The sequence below is a fragment of the Homo sapiens genome, chromosome X (assembly GCF_000001405.40).
Source record: "Homo sapiens chromosome X, GRCh38.p14 Primary Assembly".
Taxonomy (NCBI): Eukaryota; Metazoa; Chordata; class Mammalia; order Primates; family Hominidae; genus Homo; species Homo sapiens.
Genome location: NC_000023.11, coordinates 103,673,969 through 103,696,674, shown reverse-complemented (window position 1 = coordinate 103,696,674; position 22,706 = coordinate 103,673,969). Strand labels below are relative to the sequence as shown.

Sequence of the window (22,706 nt, the reverse complement as noted above, 5' to 3'; positions counted from 1 at the left end):
TCATTAGGATGTCAAATTCCAGGTGTATGAACTGTCTTCACCCAAGGCTACCTAACAGGCAAAAGTAATGAATCATGGAAGTTAATCTCATTTGTCTCCATCTGCTACATATAGTCTCTCTCCCTAACATCCTGGTGGTGGATTCATGTTTAGGGTAAAGGATTCAAGGGGGAAAGAGAGGGTCAAAACTAATGACTATATCTTTAAAGTGTCACTGATACCATGTATGATGTTATTCTTCAGCCAAGAGATATCCAGTTAGGACTTCAGCTACAAAATAGTATCTATTTCTTTCCTTCACCCTTCTTTGGGGGTGGGGGGTGTGAAGGGGTGAACGTGCACTGGCTCTCTGATGTCTTAATTTGCTACCCCCTAATTAGCTGGGAACTGAATCTGAGATGAAAAAACCATACCCTGGCATTAAGGGCTACCTCAGGGTGAGTGGGTGTCCTCTGATTATCTTTGGAAGGTTTCTTGGAGTTGCATTCTTATTTCAGCCCCCCTCAAAGTGCAAGGCAGTGCCTCTATTTTTAATGAGAAATCCAATTCTTTCTCCTGTCATTCCTTGAGTTTTTCCATGCTGCTTCACTCAAGAGGTGCACCTTGGTGGCCTGTTTGCCTTAGTAAGCCCAACCTAATAAGGTTAAGAAATGGCTGATGCCTAACCACCCTTCCGGATATTCACCACCCTGCCATTTAGCCTCCTCACAGAAAGGTAACAGTCTAGTGTAAACGGATATACTTATCCATCCTCTGAGTCTCACTGAGTCCCCAGTTTTACAGATGGTCCTGAAATTGAGGTCTTTTGCAGGCTCCAGTACCCTGAAAAGTCTCCATCACTGAGCCCAGGTAAAGCAAAGCCCTTCACTAGAAATTTGAAGTCACGAAGTGAGTGGTAAGTGTAAGGGGTTCACTCAGTTGTGAGCACCATCGAGGTAAGAAAAAAGTCTCCATCTGTAGCTATGAGCACAGCACTTGGAACAATGGAGGTGGGCAATAAATGCTAGCCCAACGAACAACTACAAATGTGGAAGTAAGTGTATTTGGCCATACTGCCAAATTTCTCTGGTTGGAAGGATCAATGAGTAAGTTTTCTTGTGTTTTTGGAGGAGGCAGTGGTGGGGGAAACAGAAAGGAAGAGAACATGAGTCTACAAGATCATTGGGAGGCCGGGTTTAGGGTAAGCTGAGGTTGGAGTTCTCTGGGTTTTGTTTGATCATTTTTTGCTTTGTTCTGTTTGTTTTGTCAGAAGGCAGGGTTCTCTCATGATTTTTTTTATACCCCTATTTAAAAACTTTTAAAGATTTCCCTTTGCACAGAAGTGTAAGATTAATCCTTCAGTTGGCTACTAATATTGCCTTATCTCCCTTGGATTTATTCACAAATTTTTGTGGAGTGCCTAACACAATATGCCAGGCACTGTGCTAAATACACAGATACATGGTGAGGAAGAAACATAACTCCTGCCCTCAGAGGGCTGACATTCTGGCAGGGGAGACAAACTTAGATAGAGACATTTAAGAAGTGACCAGAAGGAAAAGTAAGATGGAAAGAGGCAAGAAGGACCAGGAAGGCAAAGGAGAAGGAAGATGTTAGAGGTAGGAGAGTTTCCAAGAGGGAAGTGATGTAACAGATTTGCATTTGCAAAAAAACTCCGGCTGCAGAGTGGAGAACAAATTGTAGGGAGACATGAGTAGGTCATCAGGTGAAAATAGTGGTGTCTTAGAAAGGGGAAAGTAATGGGTGCTATGGGAACATAAAGCAAGAGTACTTAATCTGGCCCTGGAGATCAGGGAAGGCCTCCCTGAGGAAGTGACATTTAAGTGAGTTTTGAAGACTGGGTTAGCTGTGGTGAGGAACATGACGGGGTGAAGACTGAAGAGAGTCTGTGTCATACTAACTTTCTGCCTTCGCGAAGGCAGGCCTCATTGTTACTAACAATTTGGTCCTAGCCTGGAATGCCTGGTATCTTTTTTCCCTTGGCCAAATTGTGTCTATCTTTCTATAGCCCTCTCAAACTCCATTTTCTCTGATGATGACCAGATATGACTACTCTCGTTTCTAAACTCTTATTCTATGTCTGTCACTTAGGATTTAAAGTCTTACTATTGGTATTGTGACTTAAGGTTACACGTTTACAAACTTCTTGTAAGTTCCTTGAATTTACGAGCTGTCTTGTATTACTTTGGCATCACCCAGAGTATCTAGCCCAGTGACAGGCACATGAGGTATTCACTGAAAGAATGAATGAATGAATGAGGCACTAGAGTCCCTGCAAGCCTCCTTTGGTAGTTCACTATTATCTGTGAAGCTGACAAGGAAAGGGGTCTGCTTTCCCTATAAGATTTGTACTAAGTACTTGGATGCACAAACCTAAGATCTGAAATTGACAGCTCCTTCCCTCTGGTCACTGATTCTCACCCCCTTGCAATCCTGCCCACCCCTACCCACCACCTTCTATTGTTTCTTCTGTCTTCTGGTTCTCAGCCAGGATGAGAAAATGGTCTAGCTGTCCTCAGAGACTTACGCCAGCCTGGACTGCTCTGCAGTGCCATGAAGGGCCAGGACTTTTGTTTACAGCTGGGAGCATGGTGAGGTGGTGAGCACAGCTGACAGCCCCACTCTGGAGCAAACATCAATCTTCCTCTGTCCTCTCGGCCAAGTTTCACAGACCAGCTCTATTGAAAGCTGGCTGTACCGGCCTGGGTCTCATTGACGTCCTACCCAGAACTCTGGCCTGGAAGCAGCGGGGTGAATCTCGGCTTTGTACCTTTTAGGAACTGCCCTTGCTCCCTTCTCTGTCCCCAGTTTCAAACCATTTTATCTCAACCTCAGGACCTTGAGAGAACATGTGCTCTGATTTCCCCATGCCCTAAACAGTGCCCCACCTCTCCAACCATATCTGCTCACTCCCAGCAGTGTACAAACCCCGTCATTTGCTTAGTTACACAGTGAAAACACAACAAAGAACGAACAAAACCACATAGTTTTCAATGGGTACTCTATGGAACCCGCCTTTCCAAGCAGGTTCAGGTTGGACCTGGAACAGTCAGGTTCCAAGTCCTTGAAAGAGTGTGTGTGTGTGTGTGTGTGTGTGTGTGTGTGTGTGTGTGTGTGTGATCTTTGCCTTCAGGCAGCTTTCCCATTGTTTTATTGTTGTTGTTGTTGATTTTTGTGTATGGTGAGAGACAGGGATCCACCCCACTGTTTTAAAAACTGCAGGTCAGCTGGGCATGATAGCTCACGCCTGTAATCCCAGCACTTTGAGAGGCCAAGGCGGGCAGATCACCTAAGTCAGGAGTTCAAGACCAGCCTGCCCAACATGGCGAAACCCCGTCTCTACTAAAAATACAAAAAGTTAGCTGGGCGTGGTGGCCGGCGCCTGTAATCCCAGCTACTTGGGAGGCTGAGGAAGGAGAATCGCTTGAACCCAGGAGGTGGAGGTTGCAGTGAGCTGAGATCCGCCACTGCACTCTAGCCTGGGCGATAAGAGTGAAACTCTGTCTCAAAAACGAAAAACAAAGAAACAAAACAAAAACCTGCAAGTCAGATGGGGCCCAGAGCCTTCCAAGAATACCCTGAGGTCCTCAGTAAGGACCTCTTTGCCACATATTCTGCTCCCTGGTGTCCTCTGTCATTAGCAGCTTTGTCCTCTCCAGCACTCACCTGGGGTGAGAATGAAGCCCCATTACACTCCAAGTTCCATCTCCTGCCCCAATACTCCCTTTGCCTGTGCTTCTCTTCCTGCTGGCTAACAGTTTTTGCCAATTAGCTGAGGTCTGTTTCCATGGTTTTCAAGCTCCCTCCACTCTCAATCGCCCAAGGGATATGATATACTTCTTTCACCAATAGTGGTTCATTACAGCAAGACTTACTTGTGGGGTTTGGTGGAGGGGGATTGCAGGCAGAAGGATATTTCCCTTCTAGAAGACCTAACCAGAATTTTTGGCAAAGAGGCTTTTTCAATCTAAAACGCCCCCCTCCCCAGATTTTTACAGGGTATGTCTCTACTAAAGGGTGTACATTCTACCTAACCCCTTGGTTAATAAGTACTCTTCTAAAGAGAAACCCATGTGCGTTCTCTTCCTCAGGACTGATGAAGCACTTTAAAACATTTTTTGTCTTTTTAAATGTTTTATTATGGAAAACTTCAAAAATACACAAAAGTAGGAAAAACAGTCTAATGAACTCCCACGTAACAAGCTTCAACAATTTAGATGCAGCACTTTAACTACTACTGGTTTGTCATCTTTAATAACATGACAGCTTATATTTTCAAAAGGCATAGTTTTTATCATTCCCAGTGTAACGGGGACTGTAGGTGGAGGTTAGAAGCATAAGCAAATTTAACTCTGGAAAAATGACTCAAGGCATCCTCTTGAAGCAGTGCTCAGATTGTAGGACTCAGCATACACTGGAGGAAAGCGGTCCTCATTTCTGTGGGTTGGTATGTAGCATGGATGACTTTATATGATCATTCCAAGTGAAGTCTGTGGCTCAGGAAACTACAAATTTTGGTAAATTGTATGCTAAACTATTAACTCAGGAAGGGGACAACAAGGAATTATGTGTGAATCTGGCATCCCAAGGTCATCCAAGGACATTATTGATTAGGTTCAGGATCTCAGTGTTTTGGGTCATTTGAAGAAGTAATCTCATTCTGTCAAATGGGTAGGTCAGTCTCGGGGTGGGGATTTGTCAAAGGAGGAGAGAGGAACTAGAAGAAGACAGATACCCCTAAAAGGATAAAACTTTCCCATGACTATTTTCATCTTTGCCCTGGTCTCACAGGCTAGCAAACTAGATTGATTCAGACTACATTCCTGGACTGGCTTTATAAAATTCCTATGGAATGAGGCAGGTATAAATAGATAGAAATACGTCCTTATTAAAGAAATACCATTTGCTTAGCTGAAATATTAGGTTTTATTTTTAACCTTTACATTAATCAAACATTATTCAAAAAAATCCAATAAGCTAGTCAGAATCAAAATTTTAAAATATCAAATTAACCTTAGAATAGACCAATTTTATCTACTACCCAGAAACCATGGGAAAACACTGGTGTCTCTCTCCACCCTCCAGAACAGACTGACTGCTACCTTCCAGACCTAGGAAGGCTCTCTTAGTCATGAGGTAAGACAGGGCCAGCAGAAAATGTTGGGCAGGTTGCACCCTCCCCAAGGGTGCCCAACTAATAAGGTAGAGTCCAGGCTGAAATTCATTCTTCAGCTGTTCTGGTGAGGTTGCAACAGCCTACAGAAAGAAAAGTTATTTTTCTCATTGTTCCACTGGAATGGGCCCTTCTCTACAATTTCTCTGCCCCCCAGGTGACATGCTTTTCTAATTAGCACAAAAGCAAGGTATGAGCTAATGGTGGCCTTGAAAATTAACACAGGGTTCTCAGAGCATTGCCTGTCCTTTGAAGGCTGGGACCATAAATATTCTCTGTCTGGCCTTGGAGCCAAACAAACATTGACCTAAGCTATTTTTCCATTCCAGTTGAAACAGACTGTGAAGACAGCGGTTCAGCTATACATTCAAAAGAGGAGTAATTCCCATTTTCTGAGGACCCACTAGTAAGTGGAGGTGGCAGGGGAGTATTCACATTTGAGGGAGTAGCATGACATAATGGGAAAAAGCCTGGGCTTGGTCTGCCATTTACTTGCTGAGCAACTTGGGGTATTTATTCTCTGGGCTTCACTGAGGATTTGCTAAGATACCAGATGTAAAAAGCTGGGCACAGTGCTATGTGGCACACAGGAGACATTCAGTTCCTATGCCTTTTTCTGCTACCACCCTGATTCCAAAGTTAATTCACACTGTTCACATGCTTGGCCTTGAAACCTCACTCAGTAGAGTAAAGCATAATGATGGGTATACTAGACAGAATGTTAGAGCAAGAGTTAGGAGATGTGGGTCCCGGTGCCAGATATATCCCCTATCACACTACCTTGGGTAAGTTACTTCCCTCTCCCAACTCCATCAATAAAACAGGAGAACACCCCTAGCTCTGATGCTGAAAGAAAAAAGCAGACGAGATCACTTTTCTCGGGCATCTGCCATGAGATATGCACCGTGTTAGGCCCTTTTATATACCTTATATCCTCTAAATCAGCACTGTCCAGTAGAACTTTCTGTGGTGGTGGAAATGTTCTGTATCTGCACTGTCTAATATGGTAGCCACTAACTGTAAGTAGCTATCGAGCTCCTGGAATGAGACTAGTGCAACTGAGGATCTAAATTTTTAAATTTTACTGCATTTAAATTTAAATAGTCACATATGACTAATGGCTACAGTATTGGATAGTGTGGCTCTAAGATTATGAAATAGAAATATTTGTTCCCATTTAATATGTGACACTGAGGCTTAGAAAAGTTAAATAACTTAAAGTCACTTAACAAGTAAATAACTAAACCAGCTTCAAAGCCAAAAAGTAGAAAGCTTAGTAAAATAATATGGGCAGATATGCCAGGAATTATCCAGGTTCCACTATTTACAAGTTATATGACCAAAGATAAGTAATTACACACTGCAGAATTCACTTTCATTATCTATAAAATAATGATGATATCACCCAATTTGCAGGCCTATTGTTGAGATTAATGGGTGTATAGAGTGTGTGGCCCATAACAGGTTTTCAATAACTGTTTCCTCACCACCCTGATAACTTCAACACACATAGAAGAGATTTAGACATATGGCTGGGTGCAGTGGCTCACACCTGTAATCCCAGCACTTTGGGAGGCGAGGCGGGTGGATCACCTGAGGTCAGGAGTTTGAGACCAGCCTGGCCAACATGGTGAAACCCCATCTCTACTAAAAATAGAAAAATTAGCCGGGCGTGGTGGCACATGCCTGTAATCCCAGCTACTCGGGAGGCTGAGGCGGGAGAATTGCTTGAACCAGGGTTGGGGTTGGGTGGAGGGGAGGGCGGAGATTGCAGTGAGCTGAGATTGCAGTGAGCTGAGATCGCGCCACTTCACTCCAGCCTGGGCGACAGAGAGAAATTCCGTTAAAAAAAAAAAGAGATTTAGACATAAATAAAAAAGGCAACTGCAGAGTAAAGAGAACATTATTTGGGGAATTAAAAAACAAGAAAGAAAACATTTAGAAGCCTTGATGTGATATGCTATTATAGAATGGAGATGAGGAAGGGTATGAGAATGAAACATCGAAATATTTCCACTTACTTGGTTTGCTTTCCTGCACTCTTCTTGACACTCCAGTCAACATTAGCCAAAGCAGGGAACAAGATATTTCTAATGTATTTTGAGGCTTGGAAAGACAAGTCATCATGGTTAAACAACAGAGTACTATTAGGGGCTTGGGCTAGAGGCAGGTGAAGTTCAAATCCTGGTTCCCATACTTGTTGCGTACACTAAGAAAATAATTTGACATATCTACACATTAGTTTTTAATCTGTAAAATAGGACTGATAATATAGAGGGTGTCTGAAAACATATACTGTGCATCATTTATTATTTTGCTTTACATTCTGTAGCACCCTCTAGTGGTGTGTACAAAAATATGCATTGCATTTCTACTCTCCAAAGCAGTGGCTCTCAAACTTCAGTGTGTGCTGGAATCACTGGGATAGTTTGTAATAACACAGATTACTAAACCCCACCCTGCGAACTTCTGATTCATTAAGTTTGAGGTGGGACCTGAGAATCCGAATTTCTGACAACTTTTCAGGTGACGCTGATGTTTCTGGTACATCCAGGAAACACACCTTGGGAACCACTGCTCTAAAAAAATCCCTCCTGTGTGGTGTACAAGTATATAAGATAGATAATTGAAAGGGGTATGATTTTTGTTGTTTGACTTTGATCCAGTAGTGCTCATCTAATAAGGACTTGGTGATGAATAAAAAAATCAACGTGAACGATATAACACAGCATCTAAAATATAGAAAGCATACAAAAAAACTGAGGATCACAAAACATAAATCATTTGCCCAGGGTACTGAGACTAGTAAGTGGTGGAATGAGGTTTACAATTAGGTCTCTTTCTCTTACTCCAAAGACACAATAAAGTTTACCAATACCACTACAGAAAATAGGGTGCAAAAACACATATCTGATACAAATTTCAAGAGAAAAGGAAAATCAGTTTTCAATACCAGGGTCCAGGTTTTACTGATGAGTTCTTATCTATCTTTACTGACGGAACAGCTATCTGTATTTTCAGTTTGGGTGAGTTGCGAGCATTTGAAAAGGTGAGGAAAAAGGGTTAGGATCTTCAGCATCAGTGCTTGCGTCATTCATTAACTCTTTGATTAAACAAGGCAAGGACAAAAGAAAAGAGGGATGGAGAGGGGCCTTTTTTTTTTTTTAACCCAAGGAGAAAAGGAAAGAAATGAGCAAAATTATTTGGATCTTGGGTCACAGTCCCCTGCCTACTAGTGCTATTTACAGAAGTTGATTTTATTTTTTCCTAGGAATGAACGATATCCATGATGCCTATAGATATTACCGTTCAGCAAATCAGAAAGGGGAGGGGGGAGGGAAACAAAATCCCAGAATCCCAGGGACCAAACAGCCAATCCTTTGCTGGGATTTGGCGGCATCTAGTGGCAGACTCGAGAGGTATAAACCTTACTCACAGAACTTTCTGGAAAATTAACAGTGCGTATTTGCCTGAAGAAGGTCAGTGTGCTTGCTTGGAGATCAGGACGCAAAGGTAAGAGCGCCTCAGTCGCCACAGAAATCCGGAGTCCCTAACGGAGGGGAAGGCTGTCGTAGATAGATATTCTCACAGGAAAATTGTATTTGTGCCAAGAGAACTGCACGCAACCTTGAAGGGAGGGGGTAGGTGTGGAGGAGGGGAGGGAGGACGATACTAGAGAACTTGAAAGAAGCCTCCCTTTGGAGTTGCTAATGCGGCGATGGAAGGGTTTGGCTCTGAATCATTGGAGGGCTGTGGTTTACGATAGGATTTTGGCACGGAGGAAAACGTAGGAAGTGTATTTTTAAAGTAATTAAATCAGTACGGAAAGCCAAAATATTTCTGACAGTGCCCCTTTATCTGTTATTGTCGCCTTTCCTTAATTATTTATTTTCCTTTTCATTAGAACATTTTCAAATATAACACAGAAATAGATAACAACCTGCGCGCAGTAGCAAACCCCTCCCTGCACCGCCCCCACCATCACGCACGCGCGCGCGCCCGCCGTGGCTCTCACCAGTCCCGACGCCAGGGGCGCACGCCTGCGCAAACACAGCACCTCCCGAGCCACGAGGGCCGCTCACACAGCAACCCCAGCACCACGCGAGCCTGCCCGCGCACTAACACACTGGCCTTAATGCCTTGCGCCCGTTGCACTCACGACCCTCACTTGCAAACACAGCAGAACCCCCACTGCGCCTTTTTTTTCCGTGTTCGGGGAGTTGCGCCACAGGACTGGGGGCGTGGCCCCAGATTTGACCTCGCGCTTCCCCACTCGCGGGAACCTTAGCTCATTTCCGCCTATCCTATTTCCGCAGGCCACGTAGACACTTCCTCTCCCAGTGGGGGGGGAAAAAAACCACAAACCCATAATGCCTCCCTGCAGGAAAAAAAAAAAAAAGGAAAAGGAAAAAAAAAAACCCTCTGGTCAGAGGAACTCTGGGTCGTGAAATAGGCCACGTGAACATTCTGCCCTGTAGACTTATGACCCAACGGCTGTCACGCTTTTGGAGGGCGGGCTAAAAAAAAAAACCTAAGAGGGCGAACGTCATTGGCCGGAACTCGTACTAACGGAGGAAGAGGATTGGTTTGCTGTAGACCTTAACAGTGAAGAAGCAGGTTGCTAGCACCCGCCTTTACTGCGGCGAAGTGTCATTGCTGACGTGGGGGTGGTTGTCCAATCATTTGATTATGGAACATTCTAAAACTTAGACAAGACGATTGTGATTGGCTGAAGGGCATACGCCCTCCTCCAGGGTGACGTGTCTGCCTATGGATATCAGTTGCCAGAGAAACCTGGCTTTACTATGGCGGTTGGAGGAACGGCAGTGATCACACGTCGGCTGCTGGGAAGATCTGGATTCTCGTTTCAGGTTTCGGGGTGGGGGTGGGGAGAAAGGGTCGATGATTTCCTTTTTTCGTCGGGTATAGACGGGATTACCTAGTGCCTTCACAATCGGTCAGAGCTGGATTCAGATTCCTGCTCGCCAACGCCCAGCTTGGGCAAGGCTCCTGTTCTTTCTGTGTCTCGGTTTCCATGTTTGTAAAATGGTGATAATAATAGTATCTACCTCAGAGACGTGTACTGTATAATAGTGCGTATAAGGCACGTAATGTGAAGCCTGGCCCCTGAAGATATTAGCTATTGTTATGGAGATAAATAATACGCGTAATAGAATGAGAAAAATTATAAATTATATAAATTCGCTAATTGTAGTGCCCTTTCTGCCATCAACTTCTTTCCTAGAATAAATTAAAGATAAAATAGATATACCAATTTTTACCAATGAAATAATTTGTTATTTGGGAATTGCCTCAAAATAGCAGAGATTGTAATTTTCCTATATTGAAAAGTTAAATAAAAGGTGGGGGGGGGGGGAGTGCAAGAAAGAAAGAGATGGAGAACGAGAGCGAGCTGGAGATGAACCACATGCGATGAGTAGGCCTTGTTTGGATCCTGAATCGAACACACCAACTGTAAAAATATGTTTAAGACGCATCGGGAAAATTGGGACACGGATTCGATATTTGATGTTTTTTAGGGAATTGATGTCAGTTTTTTTAGGCGTCACAGTAGTATTGTGATTATGTTTTCAAATTGTCCTTTTTTGTAGAGACATACGAAAATATTTACGGATTAAATAATGTCTGGGATTGGCTTCTAAATACATTAATGACTAGGATTTGCTTCAAAATAATCTCAGCGGTAGGGGGAAATGGGGAGGGGTATAGATGAAACAAAATTGGCCCTAAATTAATAATATTTTTTTGCTGAGTGATAGGCAGTGGGTTGCGTATATTAATCTGCTTTCCTTGGTATACGTTTAAATTTTTCTATAATAAAATACAGAAGTCAGATATTCCGGTGAGCTTGAAAAAGTCGGGGGTGGGGGGGAGCAGTGGGTGGGGTTATAGATGAAACAAGATGGCCTTCAGTTGGTAATTGTTGAAAGCTGGATGATGGATTCGTGTAGGTTTATAATACTATTTCTTTTTTATTTCATCCATTTGAAATTATATTTAAGGAAAGTTAAAAAACAAATTTGTCAGAAATTATACAAATGTACAATAAATTAAATTTGAAAATGTGGCCACAAGAAAGGAAAAAGAAACACTTGTACATTATTTATCAGCTTTGGTGTCCTTTGTGTGTGATGAAATTGCATTGGCTGATGTAGAAGAAAGCCATATCTCATATCTTTTTATTTTATGTTCTTTCTTGTCCTTTTGTTTGACCTTCTAGGTCACCATCAGAAAAGCTAAGTTTGCTGTATAGTGAGGATCAGGAGATCTGATCCTGATTGCAGAACCTTCCCTGATTACAGAATCTTGGGTAAGTGCCTCCCTTCTGTCCTCAGTTCTCAAACAGGATAATACCACATAACCTTCCTAACTGTCCAGGAATATTTTGAAAATTAATAAGCTCCTATCTGGGAAAGTAGTCTAAATTCTGAGAAGGGAAGGGTGGAGCTAAGTCCATTGATAGTTCCAGTATAGAAAGTGCATAAGCAACAGAGGGCTTTGTAATCTTACATCCCTTGATAAAAGATACTACAGTCAATCTCCTGTAGTAGTTCCACAGTTCCATAGATTACATTTTTCCTTGGAGCATCCTATATGCAGCATAGTTTAGTGGTTAAGAGCAAATACTTCCTGAATTTAAATCCTGGCTCTGCCACTTAACTATGTGATCTTGGGCAAGATATTTACTCACTTTATACCTAAGTTCCTCGTATATGAAACAGAGGTGATAATAATAGTTCCTACTTCATAGGATTGTTGAGAGGATTACATGTAAAGTACCAGGACAGTGCATGGCACATGTAAGTATTTGCTTTAATAATAATTATGGTTCTGTTAGTCCTGATAATCTCATGTTTTATCTACACATTTACACCTACTTCTAAAAGCAGTGGATATATTTCTTTTTGGAATTGTGTAAAAAAAAAATAATAATTAATACCGTTGGTTTCTCTCCTCATTTTCCAGAAGCAGCAGTTACCACTAGAACTGAATTCCGAAATTATGACTTCTGGCTTGTCTTAACAATCTAGAAAGGTTTCAAATATATTGATCATATTTATTTATGAGGGAATTTCCAGGAGCTATAATTTTAGCTAGCAGTTCAAACCAAATTTATAAATAAGCAAATCTTTTCACTGAATATTCAGTCTGCTAACAGCTTTTGTATCATTCCTCCTTTGTCTCAGACTTAAAAAAAAAAAATCTATTACATGTAATGGAAATGTTTCAAGATCCAGAAGAGAAAATTGATATGAATGTAACTGATATGGTATATGTGCATTTAAAGGTTTATTCCAACAAAATGTTACTCACACTCTTTTCTGACACATGCATACACAAAAGATGTTAGCATTTGCAGTCTGATTCCCAAATGGCCCATTGCTTGTGTGGAGAGATGAAGTAGGATTTGAAGGTTTTTCAGCCTTTTGACAGCTACATATGGAGTCACTGTAATTTCCTTTTTTTTCTCTCTTCTGAAAAGTAGGTTTCGGAGGAGGGCACTGCCCTCCTGGAAGAGATGCATTAGATCGGTAGGCACAGAATACCTTTACATGAGACCATTTAGAGAATGATTAGGGGCCAAAGGTAAGGGGTGGACTGTTAAGCCAACAGGGACTCAGAGAAAGCAAGGGTCAGGGTGACCAGAAATAGAGAAAAAAAAGCCTCACAGAGGAAGAGGACCTGGACCTGAGCCACAGAGGATGGGTAGAACTTAGAAGGAGGGAATGAGCCCAGTCTGAATGATATGTCTACAAAGTATACAATATGCAATGATGATTAACTGAAAAATTGGGCTGGCCATTTGTGAGATCCATGAATAAAAGTAGATCAGAAAGTCAGTGTGAGTTTTAAATATATATATTTTATTATAAAACGTTAATCACATAATATGTGAAATCACTATTGATAACCTTTTCTATTGGTCCTAGTGTTTTGCTATTTAAGATAATACTGCATCAAATATTCTTAGTGTAGCCATCCATTTACAAGTGTTATTTTCAAGAGCAAAATTTATGCCTTTAAACTGTGATAATTAAATTAATACTGGTGAGAACTATCAGATATACCACTGTGACAGAACAGATGGCCTAGAGACAGTGATACCTTTAAAAGTTAAATAATTGCTGAGCGCGGTGGCTTACGCCTGTAATCCCAGCACTTTGGGAGGCCGCGGTGTGTGGATCACGGGGTCAGGAGTTCAAGACCAGCCTGGCCAAGATGGTGAAACCCCATCTCTACTAAAAATACAGGTGGGCGCCTATAATCCCAGCTACTCAGGAGGCTGAGGCAGAGAATTGCTTGAACCCAGGAGGCGGAGGTTGCAGTGAGCCAAGATCGCGCCACTGCACTCCAGCCTAGGTGACAGCGAGACTCCGTCTCAAAAAAAGAAAAAAAAAAAAAGTTAAATAATCAAAAATCATTCAGAAGAGAGTACCTTAAAAGACCCATATACCTCTGAGAATTTAGAATGTTACAAAACCGTATTTCATACCAATGGGGAAAGGATAAACTCTTCAGTGACGAATATTAGAAAAAGTTAGTTATACATTTGAGGAAAACTATAAAAGTACCAATAATGAGTAGGAAATCACTTCTGCAGTATTTTTGGAGCATTTTCCTTAAGCATGACATAAAAGCCAAAGGTCACAAGGGAAAAAACTGATAGATTTGTCTGTGATATTGAGAGATGTATGCACATATACATACAACAGTCATAGTAAGACACCGTTAGACAAAAGAAAGTGATGGTTTGGAAAAAAATTTCCAACATAAAATAAAACTAATATTTAATTATTAGAAAATAATAGCAAACAACCTGGTAGAAGAGAGAACAAAAATATTCATATACGATAACGTGACCATTGAATGTGTGAAGGATGATATCACACAAATTCAAATGAAATTATCTTACTACATGTTAGATTGGCCCAAGAAAAGTCGCTCTCCTTTTTTTTTCAAAAAGATGTTTTTCCAGTGTTCTTGAAGTCATGAAAAAATGAACTTTTATATTTTTGTTAGGAGTACAAATTAAAACAGTTCTTTGTGAGGTGAATTTGGCTCTATCTCATCAAAGTTATAAATAAGCAAATCCTTTCGCTAAATAGTTCCTCTTGGAATATATCCTTCAGAGGTACTTAACTAATGCTCTAATATTTGTATACACTGATGTGCATTGCAGTATTTTTGTAATAATGAAATATTGGGAACAACCTAAATGTTCAGAGACTGGTTATAGTACATAACATTATAGAATGTGTTATGAATATTAAAAAGAAGAGGTAGGTATGTACTGACATGGAAAGATGCCTATGAGAAGTGAGCAAAGCAAGGTGCAGAGCAGTATGGATCTCACCTTTGTCAAAACAAATTAAATAAATGCATGCTATATATTCACATACCTATGTGTATAATATACACATTGAGTCTTTAAAGTTACATTTTATGTGAATGTACATGAAAAGATTTGAAGGCATACATGCTCACTCAGGATACTCCTAGGATTGGGGTGGGAGAGGGGGAGGTGATAAGGGAAGAATGTTCACATCTTTATATAATTTGTTATCTATAGTTATAAAAAGGAAATATAAATGGTACCACAAGATCTAATTACTTGAGGTGAACGAAGATTGTCAGTTCATGACTTGCAAACTACTAGATGGATTAAGGAGTTATAAAAGAAATCTATCAAAGTATTTGTTCTTAATTTTTAAACTTAAAAATGAAAGGAAAAAAAATTTTTTAAATGATCCCCAGTACTGGTCAGAGCATGAGGCATAGTAAATATTTTTACACACTGCTTGTGGGATTAGAAATTGGCACAACTTGTGCAGAGGGAGTAATTTGGCAGTGTATTGAGAGTGTTCTATCTCTTGACTCACTAAGCCCGCTTCTGAGAGTCTTAAAGGAACAAAAGGAAGCGAGAGCAAAAAAATGTTTACACAAAATGTTTTCATTGATTATTAAAGAATATATTGGTGGGAGGTGTGCACTGGATATTTCCAGGGAAGGAGTGGCTAAGTAAATTAAGGTATGCTCATTTGACAGAATATCTATTATATGACTCAAAATGGATGCATATAATAACCTTAACATGGGAAGATTATTGGTTATCATAGTAAATTTTTTAAAAGGAAAAATCTAAGATTTGATAGCCCTTATGAGCTCACCTCTGTTTAAATGTATTATTTATACAGAGATTAAACTGGTGTAAAATTAAAGATAGAAAACTAAGACAAACATAAGTACAAATGTGTTTTCTGAATTTCTGGCTTACCCTAGAGCTGACCTGTAGGGAACAGGTGGCAAAATAGTTGGTGACTGTTGTCCCTAATTTGTGCCCTCATTTTCTCCATGTGTTGAGTCACAGCCCCCTCCACCCCAATTCACAATTATATACCCACCAGGGACCAATGTGACTTCCAGAATGGTTTTTGTCCAGCTTGGCTCTACTTAATGTGTTTTACACAGTCTGGTTGGCACTAGGTCATGTTGCTTTCTTTAGGTGGTATTTTCACTATCATCCCTTTGTTTTATGGAACCTCTGCACTATGAGCCCCAAGATGGGCTTTCTGGATTTACTCATGCAGGTTCAGTAACCCTAATCTGAAATGCTCCAAAATCTGAAACTTTCTGAGTGCCAACATGCCACTAGTAGATGATTCCACATCTGACCTCATGTGACAGGTGCAAAGAAATGTTTAAAATACTGTATAAAATTACCTTCAAGACCATGTGTATAAGGTGTATATGAAACATAAATGAATTTCCTGTTTAGACTGGGGTCCCATCCCCAAGATATTCTCACACATATGCAAATATTCCAATATCTGAAACACTTCTCATCCCAAGCATTTTGGATAAGGAATACTCAACCTGTATTAACAATTCTCTGAAGTCTTCAGATACTGTATCTGGTCTGTCCTGGTCACAAAGCAATTCTTTTAGAAACATTATTCTGGAAGCATGATAGCTTACAATTTAATGCCATGATACAGTGGCCACTATCACCACTGTCTGATCCTTCACAGGATGTGTCTCCGTGTCCCTCTCAGCCAGAAGGTTTCTGATTCCCACAGGGATCAGTCTCCATATTTACAAATTTTGATGCTTTCTGAAGACTGACTTTACCCTTGAATTTCTGCTCAAAGCTTTGTGCTTTTTCAGTTAGAGGATATTGTTTGCTTAGTGAAAGTACTAGCATCCAGGCCTTTCTTCCCAATAACTGGCTTTCCTGGTTCAGGGATCTAGTCTTCAAGCATGCATGCATGCATATTTATTTATTTGTTTGTTTGTTTGACAGAGTCTCACTGTCACCCAGGCTGGAGTGCAGTGGCACGATCTCCTGGCTCACTGCAACCTCCATCTCCCAGGTTCAAGTGATTCTCCTGCCTCAGCCTCCCAAGTAGCTGGGATTATAGGTGTGCACCACTAAGCCTGGCTAATTTTTGTGTTTTTAGTAGGGACAGGGTTTCACCATGTTGGCCAGGCTGGTCTTGAACTCCTGACCTCAAGAGATTTGGCCACCTCGGCCACCCAAAATGCTGGGATTACAGGCGTGAGCCACCGTGCCCGGCCTTGTTTTCTTTTCTTTTCTTTTTTTTTTTTTTTTTTTTTTTTTGCCCACAGGTGCTACTAACAAACATTTCTTATCTCTGATTTTCTTCTCAGAGCCTCCCTGACACCTGCCTACAGTGTTAATGGCTACAGAATGGCTGCTGGGCTTTTTCTGTGGGTGAAAGTTGTAGTTACTAGAGAAACCTGGTTTAAGGCTAGTCTACAATCATCCCTTTCTCAGAGGTTACCCTGATTTTAACAGGCTGATATTTATCTGTCTAGATATTTCCATGCATATTTATAGACATCTGTTTAAAACACACACACAAATGACAGCACACTCTTCCTAAAAACTATTTCACACTAATGCTTATTTCTCTACCTGTACTATCTTTTTTTTTTTGGAGATGGAGTCTCTGTCGCCCAGGCTAGAGTGCAGTGGTACGATCTCAATCTCAGCTCACTGCAACCTCTGCCTCTCGGGTTCAAGCGATTCTCCTGCCTCAGTCTCCTGAGTAGCTGAGACTACAGGCGTGCACCACCATGCCCTGCTACTTTTTTTTTTTTTTTTTTTTGTATTTTTAGTAGAGACAGGGTTTCACTACGTTGGCCAGGCTGGTCTCAAACTCCTGATCTCGTGATCTGCCTGCCTTGGCCTCCCGAAGTGCTGGGATCACAGGTGTGACCCACTGCGCCCGGCCTTATCTGTCTCTTTAAGATCCTATTGCATTTGGGATCCTGTAGTATTATGCCACTGCCTATTTACCTAATAATATATATTGAACATCTTTCCATGTCAGTACACAGATCTCTGCTTAATTCATTTGAATGTTCTTCTGTAGTATTCATACATAATTTATGTTATCATTTTCCTGTTGAAGAATAGGTAGGTGTTTTCCAGTTCTTCAGTATTGCAAACACCACTACATTGAACATCTTTGTATCCATGTGCAAATATTCCCGCAACATACTGTGCTAGCTGTTCAGCCACATCACCTTTATGAAATTCTCACAGGAACCTGTGAAGGCTATAGGTAATTTGCCACATTCCACAGATGAGAAAAAGGCTAAGAGAGCTTACATGTCTTGCCTGAGGTCTCACAACTCATAAATGACGGAGCCTAATTGAAGTAAAGATCTGTCTGACAGCAGAACTCAAGTATTTTCTCTGATACCACGATTTACAATTGTGGTATATGATTCATATATGTGTTTAAATGTAAACATATAAACCACATGTTTATAAATTACTCATTTTTTTTCTTTTTCTTAGATGATTTCACAAAAGTTCATCTTCATTGCAGATACCTGCCTTTCTTTCTAGGTTGTATCTCCCACTTCACCCTTCTAGACCATCCCAGAAGATCTATAAGATTTCATCTGGGAAATCACTAGGAGTTCTTGGAAGGGAAAGAAGGAAGATTGTGTAAGTCAAAGGAATTGTTTCCTCTGTCACACCATAAGAATAATGGAAGACTATTTTTTGCATCCTTATCTTACTAGCACTCCCTGCTGCACTTTACACTGTAGATTATACCTTTTTCTTCTTGGAACGCTCATCATCTTTGGCATCCAAAATAACATTCTTCTAATTCTGTTATGGCTACTCTTAACATTTTTGTTTCATTTGTGGTCTCTGTGCATCCCTTAAATGCCTTTCGTCCTTAGGTTTTCCAGAATTCCATACTTGAAGTTCTTCCTCTCTTCTCCCTGATTTCATTGGCCCTCGTAGTGTCCACTACCAGCTATGTGATGTTACTCTCAGATCTCCATTTCTGGCTTTTACTTCTCACCCGAGCTTTATTTTTTTTTTTTTGTTTTGGGTTGTGGGGTGGGTACCCAGTTAGCTGGACAAAACTGAGCTTTACAATTTTATGTTTAACTGTACATCTCACACACAATAGGCCCAACACAACTTTTCCTCCAATCCATTTTCTCCACCTGTAAATGGAGGAGTATTATCATTTGGTGATAATACTAATAACCTAATCACCCATACCTGGGAGTCATCACTGACTCCTCCCTCACCAATCTTTTTTTTACCTTCTTAAACAATCACTGACAGTGGTGTCATGTACCATTTCTTGTGTCTGCTCCCAAACTATTTTGTGCCTATAACTGTCATTATACTAACCTTATCGTTTTATAATTGTCACTTTAGATATTTGGATCTCTAGCAACTACCATAGTACTTGTCCCAAAGCAGATATGCAGTAATGTATAATGACAAACTGAATAGATTAATGAATGGATGAATTACCTATGTTCTGTCATTTTATTTCTGATTCCAAACTAAACCCTAAATTCAGTGCTTTCATTAAGTTCATTAATTACCCAGGCTTGAAATTGCAGATTCCTCCCTCCTTTGGTTACTATATTCTTCATGATTTCTGTATTCTTCAGTTTCTCTTGACTCTGTCATCATCCTAATTCAGGCCTTTCTGGACTAATACAAGAACCTTTACTGTTACTCATTTTGCCCTTAGTCAATTAAATATAACCTTCCCTATTCCATATTGTCATTTCTCCTGTTCAAAAGTCTTAAATTTCAACTCCACTGTCTTTTATAGTTTTTCATTTAATTCCTTCTTTCTTGAAAATTGCTTTCCTATCTTGTGAGTGGCATCAACAGAGTAATTTATGGGTAGTTGTGATGAGTATTTGGGTGAGATGAGAGTAGTGGCTGGTAGTGAGGATCAGAGAGAGGGAAAGGAGGTAAAAAAATAAAAAATCACTTATAAAGGGTCCTGAAATAGGATTTGAAATCCAGATTTTAAGGGAGTTAGAATGTGTTATTCTCTGATGGGCCTTTATGAAACATAGTTAAAGGTTGCCATAGAAAACAACCAAGTAAAATATTTTATATATTACAGTGGTTGGAATAAAAACAGGGTTGAATGAGTTCCAGAAAGCAGGGTTCTCAACCTCGTGGACAGCAATCTGCAGAAGAAGAGAACTTCAAAAAACCAACTAGAAGCAACATGCAGAGAAGTAAAATGAGAGGGGCCTCCTCAGGAAAGAAGACAGCTGGTCCACAGCAGAAAAATCTTGAACCAGCTCTCCCAGGAAGATGGGGTGGTCGCTCTGCAGAGAACCCCCCTTCAGGATCCGTGAGGAAGACCAGAAAGAACAAGCAGAAGACTCCTGGAAACGGAGATGGTGGCAGTACCAGCGAAGCACCTCAGCCCCCTCGGAAGAAAAGGGCCCGGGCAGACCCCACTGTTGAAAGTGAGGAGGCGTTTAAGAATAGAATGGAGGTTAAAGTGAAGATTCCTGAAGAATTAAAACCATGGCTTGTTGAGGACTGGGACTTAGTTACCAGGCAGAAGCAGCTGTTTCAACTCCCTGCCAAGAAAAATGTAGATGCAATTCTGGAGGAGTATGCAAATTGCAAGAAATCGCAGGGAAATGTTGATAATAAGGAATATGCGGTTAATGAAGTTGTGGCAGGAATAAAAGAATATTTCAATGTGATGTTGGGCACTCAGCTGCTCTACAAATTTGAGAGGCCCCAGTATGCTGAAATCCTCTTGGCTCACCCTGATGCTCCAATGTCCCAGGTTTATGGAGCACCACACCTACTGAGATTATTTGTAAGAATTGGAGCAATGTTGGCCTATACGCCCCTTGATGAGAAAAGCCTTGCATTATTGTTGGGCTATTTGCATGATTTCCTAAAATATCTGGCAAAGAATTCTGCATCTCTCTTTACTGCCAGTGATTACAAAGTGGCTTCTGCTGAGTACCACCGCAAAGCCCTGTGAGCGTCTACAGACAGCTCACCATTTTTGTCCTGTATCTGTAAACACTTTTTGTTCTTAGTCTTTTTCTTGTAAAATTGATGTTCTTTAAAATCGTTAATGTATAACAGGGCTTATGTTTCAGTTTGTTTTCCGTTCTGTTTTAAACAGAAAATAAAAGGAGTGTAAGCTCCTTTTCTCATTTCAAAGTTGCTACCAGTGTATGCAGTAATTAGAACAAAGAAGAAACATTCAGTAGAACATTTTATTGCCTAGTTGACAACATTGCTTGAATGCTGGTGGTTCCTATCCCTTTGACACTACACAATTTTCTAATATGTGTTAATGCTATGTGACAAAACGCCCTGATTCCTAGTGCCAAAGGTTCAACTTAATGTATATACCTGAAAACCCATGCATTTGTGCTCTTTTTTTTTTTTTATGGTGCTTGAAGTAAAACAGCCCATCCTCTGCAAGTCCATCTATGTTGTTCTTAGGCATTCTATCTTTGCTCAAATTGTTGAAGGATGGTGATTTGTTTCATGGTTTTTGTATTTGAGTCTAATGCACGTTCTAACATGATAGAGGCAATGCATTATTGTGTAGCCACGGTTTTCTGGAAAAGTTGATATTTTAGGAATTGTATTTCAGATCTTAAATAAAATTTGTTTCTAAATTTCAAAGCAAGTAATTTGTAGTGTGCCTTTCATGTTACTGGTTGGTATTCTGGTTATTGTAGAAATAAGGTTGGTATTCTGTGGTTATTGTAGAAATTTTAGAAAACATAGTAAGAACAAATGCAAATAAGAATCATGTAATTCTACTGGATCCTTCAAGGTCCCAGCAAATAAATGGGACTCAAAAATGGGTGATTTGAGGAGAGTTAAAGAATTTTTTCCCTGAGTTGCCACCAGAGGGGTAGGGTTGTAGTGTATATTAGCTGGCTCAGGCTGCCGTAAGTACCTCAGACTGAGTGGCTTAAACAATAAGTTTATTTTCTCACAGTTCTGGATGTTAGAAGTCAGATCAAGGTGTTGCCAGAGGATTTTTTTGAGGCCTCCTTGGCTTCTACATGGCCGTCCTCCTTGTCATCACATGGCCTTTTTCTGTGTATCTGTATCCTAATCTCTTGTAAGGACACTATTCATTGGATTAGGACACACCCCAGTGACCTCATTTAGTTATCTCTGTAAAGACCCTATTTCCAACTACAGTCACAATCTGAGGTATTGGGGATTAGGACTTCAACATGAATTTGGCGGGTGTGGGGAGGGGTGGGTGCACAATTCAGGGCATAACAGTGTTACTACCCCTCTGCAAAGGAGACGAAGAGGGGAAGGGACGGGAGGAGCAGAGGGAAGGAAGGGAGGGGTTACTGGAATGGTATACAGCTGTGTGGAAAGGTCCACCTGACAGTAGCTGTAATCTTCAGGATGCAGTCAGCTCACAGCGACCCTGAGAAGAGAAAATGCAATGAGAGGGCATAAATGCTTGACTTTGCTCTCTTCCGAACATCGCCTGCTGGGTATTTCCCTTTGTCCAAACTGGAAGCCAGAGGGCAAGGAAGACCTTTTGTATAGTCTGTGTTGGTAAGTGTGGGGGACACAGAGCAGGAAGGAAAGTAGATGGTGGGGAGGGGGGTGGAGGAGGGTAGTTGCGGGTGGTAAGTGGGAGGAGGACAAATGGGAGATACCTAGCACACACCTGAAATAGTTAATACTTTACCAGATATTCTTGGAATTATGTGTATACGTAAATATTTGTAATAAAGATCATACAACATTTTTAAAACAAATTGGGATCAGATCATATGTATGGTTTTCTTTTTCTCCCCAAATTGATATACAAAGGAAGTTCAAGGCTAATAAAACTAGTTTATTTTTAAATGACTTAATGAAAATAAAACATGAAAATGGAAAAATTCTGAGAAAACTAAAGAGAAGTTGCCACATAGAAAAATTTGTTATAAAATGGTACTCTAAAAGTGTATTTTGGGCACCAAAACAGATCAGGGTAACAGAATGGAAATATCTGTGTCTGTGTATGTGTGTTTAACTTATTAGTTATGTTAGAGGTAATATTTGAATTAGTAGTGAAAGAATGGGATAGTCAAAATATTGGAGGGGAATGTTAGATCTTTTGCATTACATTTTATTCCAAAGTACATTCCAAACGAATTAAAGATTTACATTTGATAAGTGAAACCATAGATTGTT

General features: G+C 40.6%; 1 protein-coding gene and 1 long non-coding RNA gene across 17 annotated transcripts; one reads left to right on the top strand and one right to left on the bottom strand.

Annotated features, from left to right (window-relative positions):
- Window positions 1–4,114: 4,114 nt before the first annotated feature.
- On the bottom strand, window positions 4,115–9,391 carry MORF4L2-AS1 (MORF4L2 antisense RNA 1). Its single transcript, NR_038978.1, has 3 exons — window positions 9,189–9,391; window positions 7,195–8,723; window positions 4,115–5,256 (listed from the first exon to the last, which is right to left on the bottom strand). It is a non-coding gene; the product is annotated as an MORF4L2 antisense RNA 1 (long non-coding RNA).
- Window positions 8,628–21,177, top strand: MORF4L2 (mortality factor 4 like 2). 16 transcript variants are annotated; one of them, NM_001142428.2, is made up of 5 exons: window positions 8,628–8,686; window positions 11,415–11,504; window positions 11,946–11,994; window positions 18,075–18,176; window positions 19,624–21,177. In NM_001142428.2, exon 5 carries the CDS (start codon window positions 19,648–19,650, stop codon window positions 20,512–20,514), a length of 867 nt encoding a protein of 288 aa, NP_001135900.1. In that variant the 5' UTR covers window positions 8,628–8,686; window positions 11,415–11,504; window positions 11,946–11,994; window positions 18,075–18,176; window positions 19,624–19,647; the 3' UTR covers window positions 20,515–21,177. The 16 variants fall into 16 exon arrangements, with proteins under 16 accessions (NP_001135900.1, NP_001135904.1, NP_001135894.1 ...); NM_001142432.2 differs by having other exon boundaries at window positions 18,055–18,176; NM_001142422.2 differs by having other exon boundaries at window positions 18,024–18,176.
- Window positions 21,178–22,706: the final 1,529 nt, after the last annotated feature.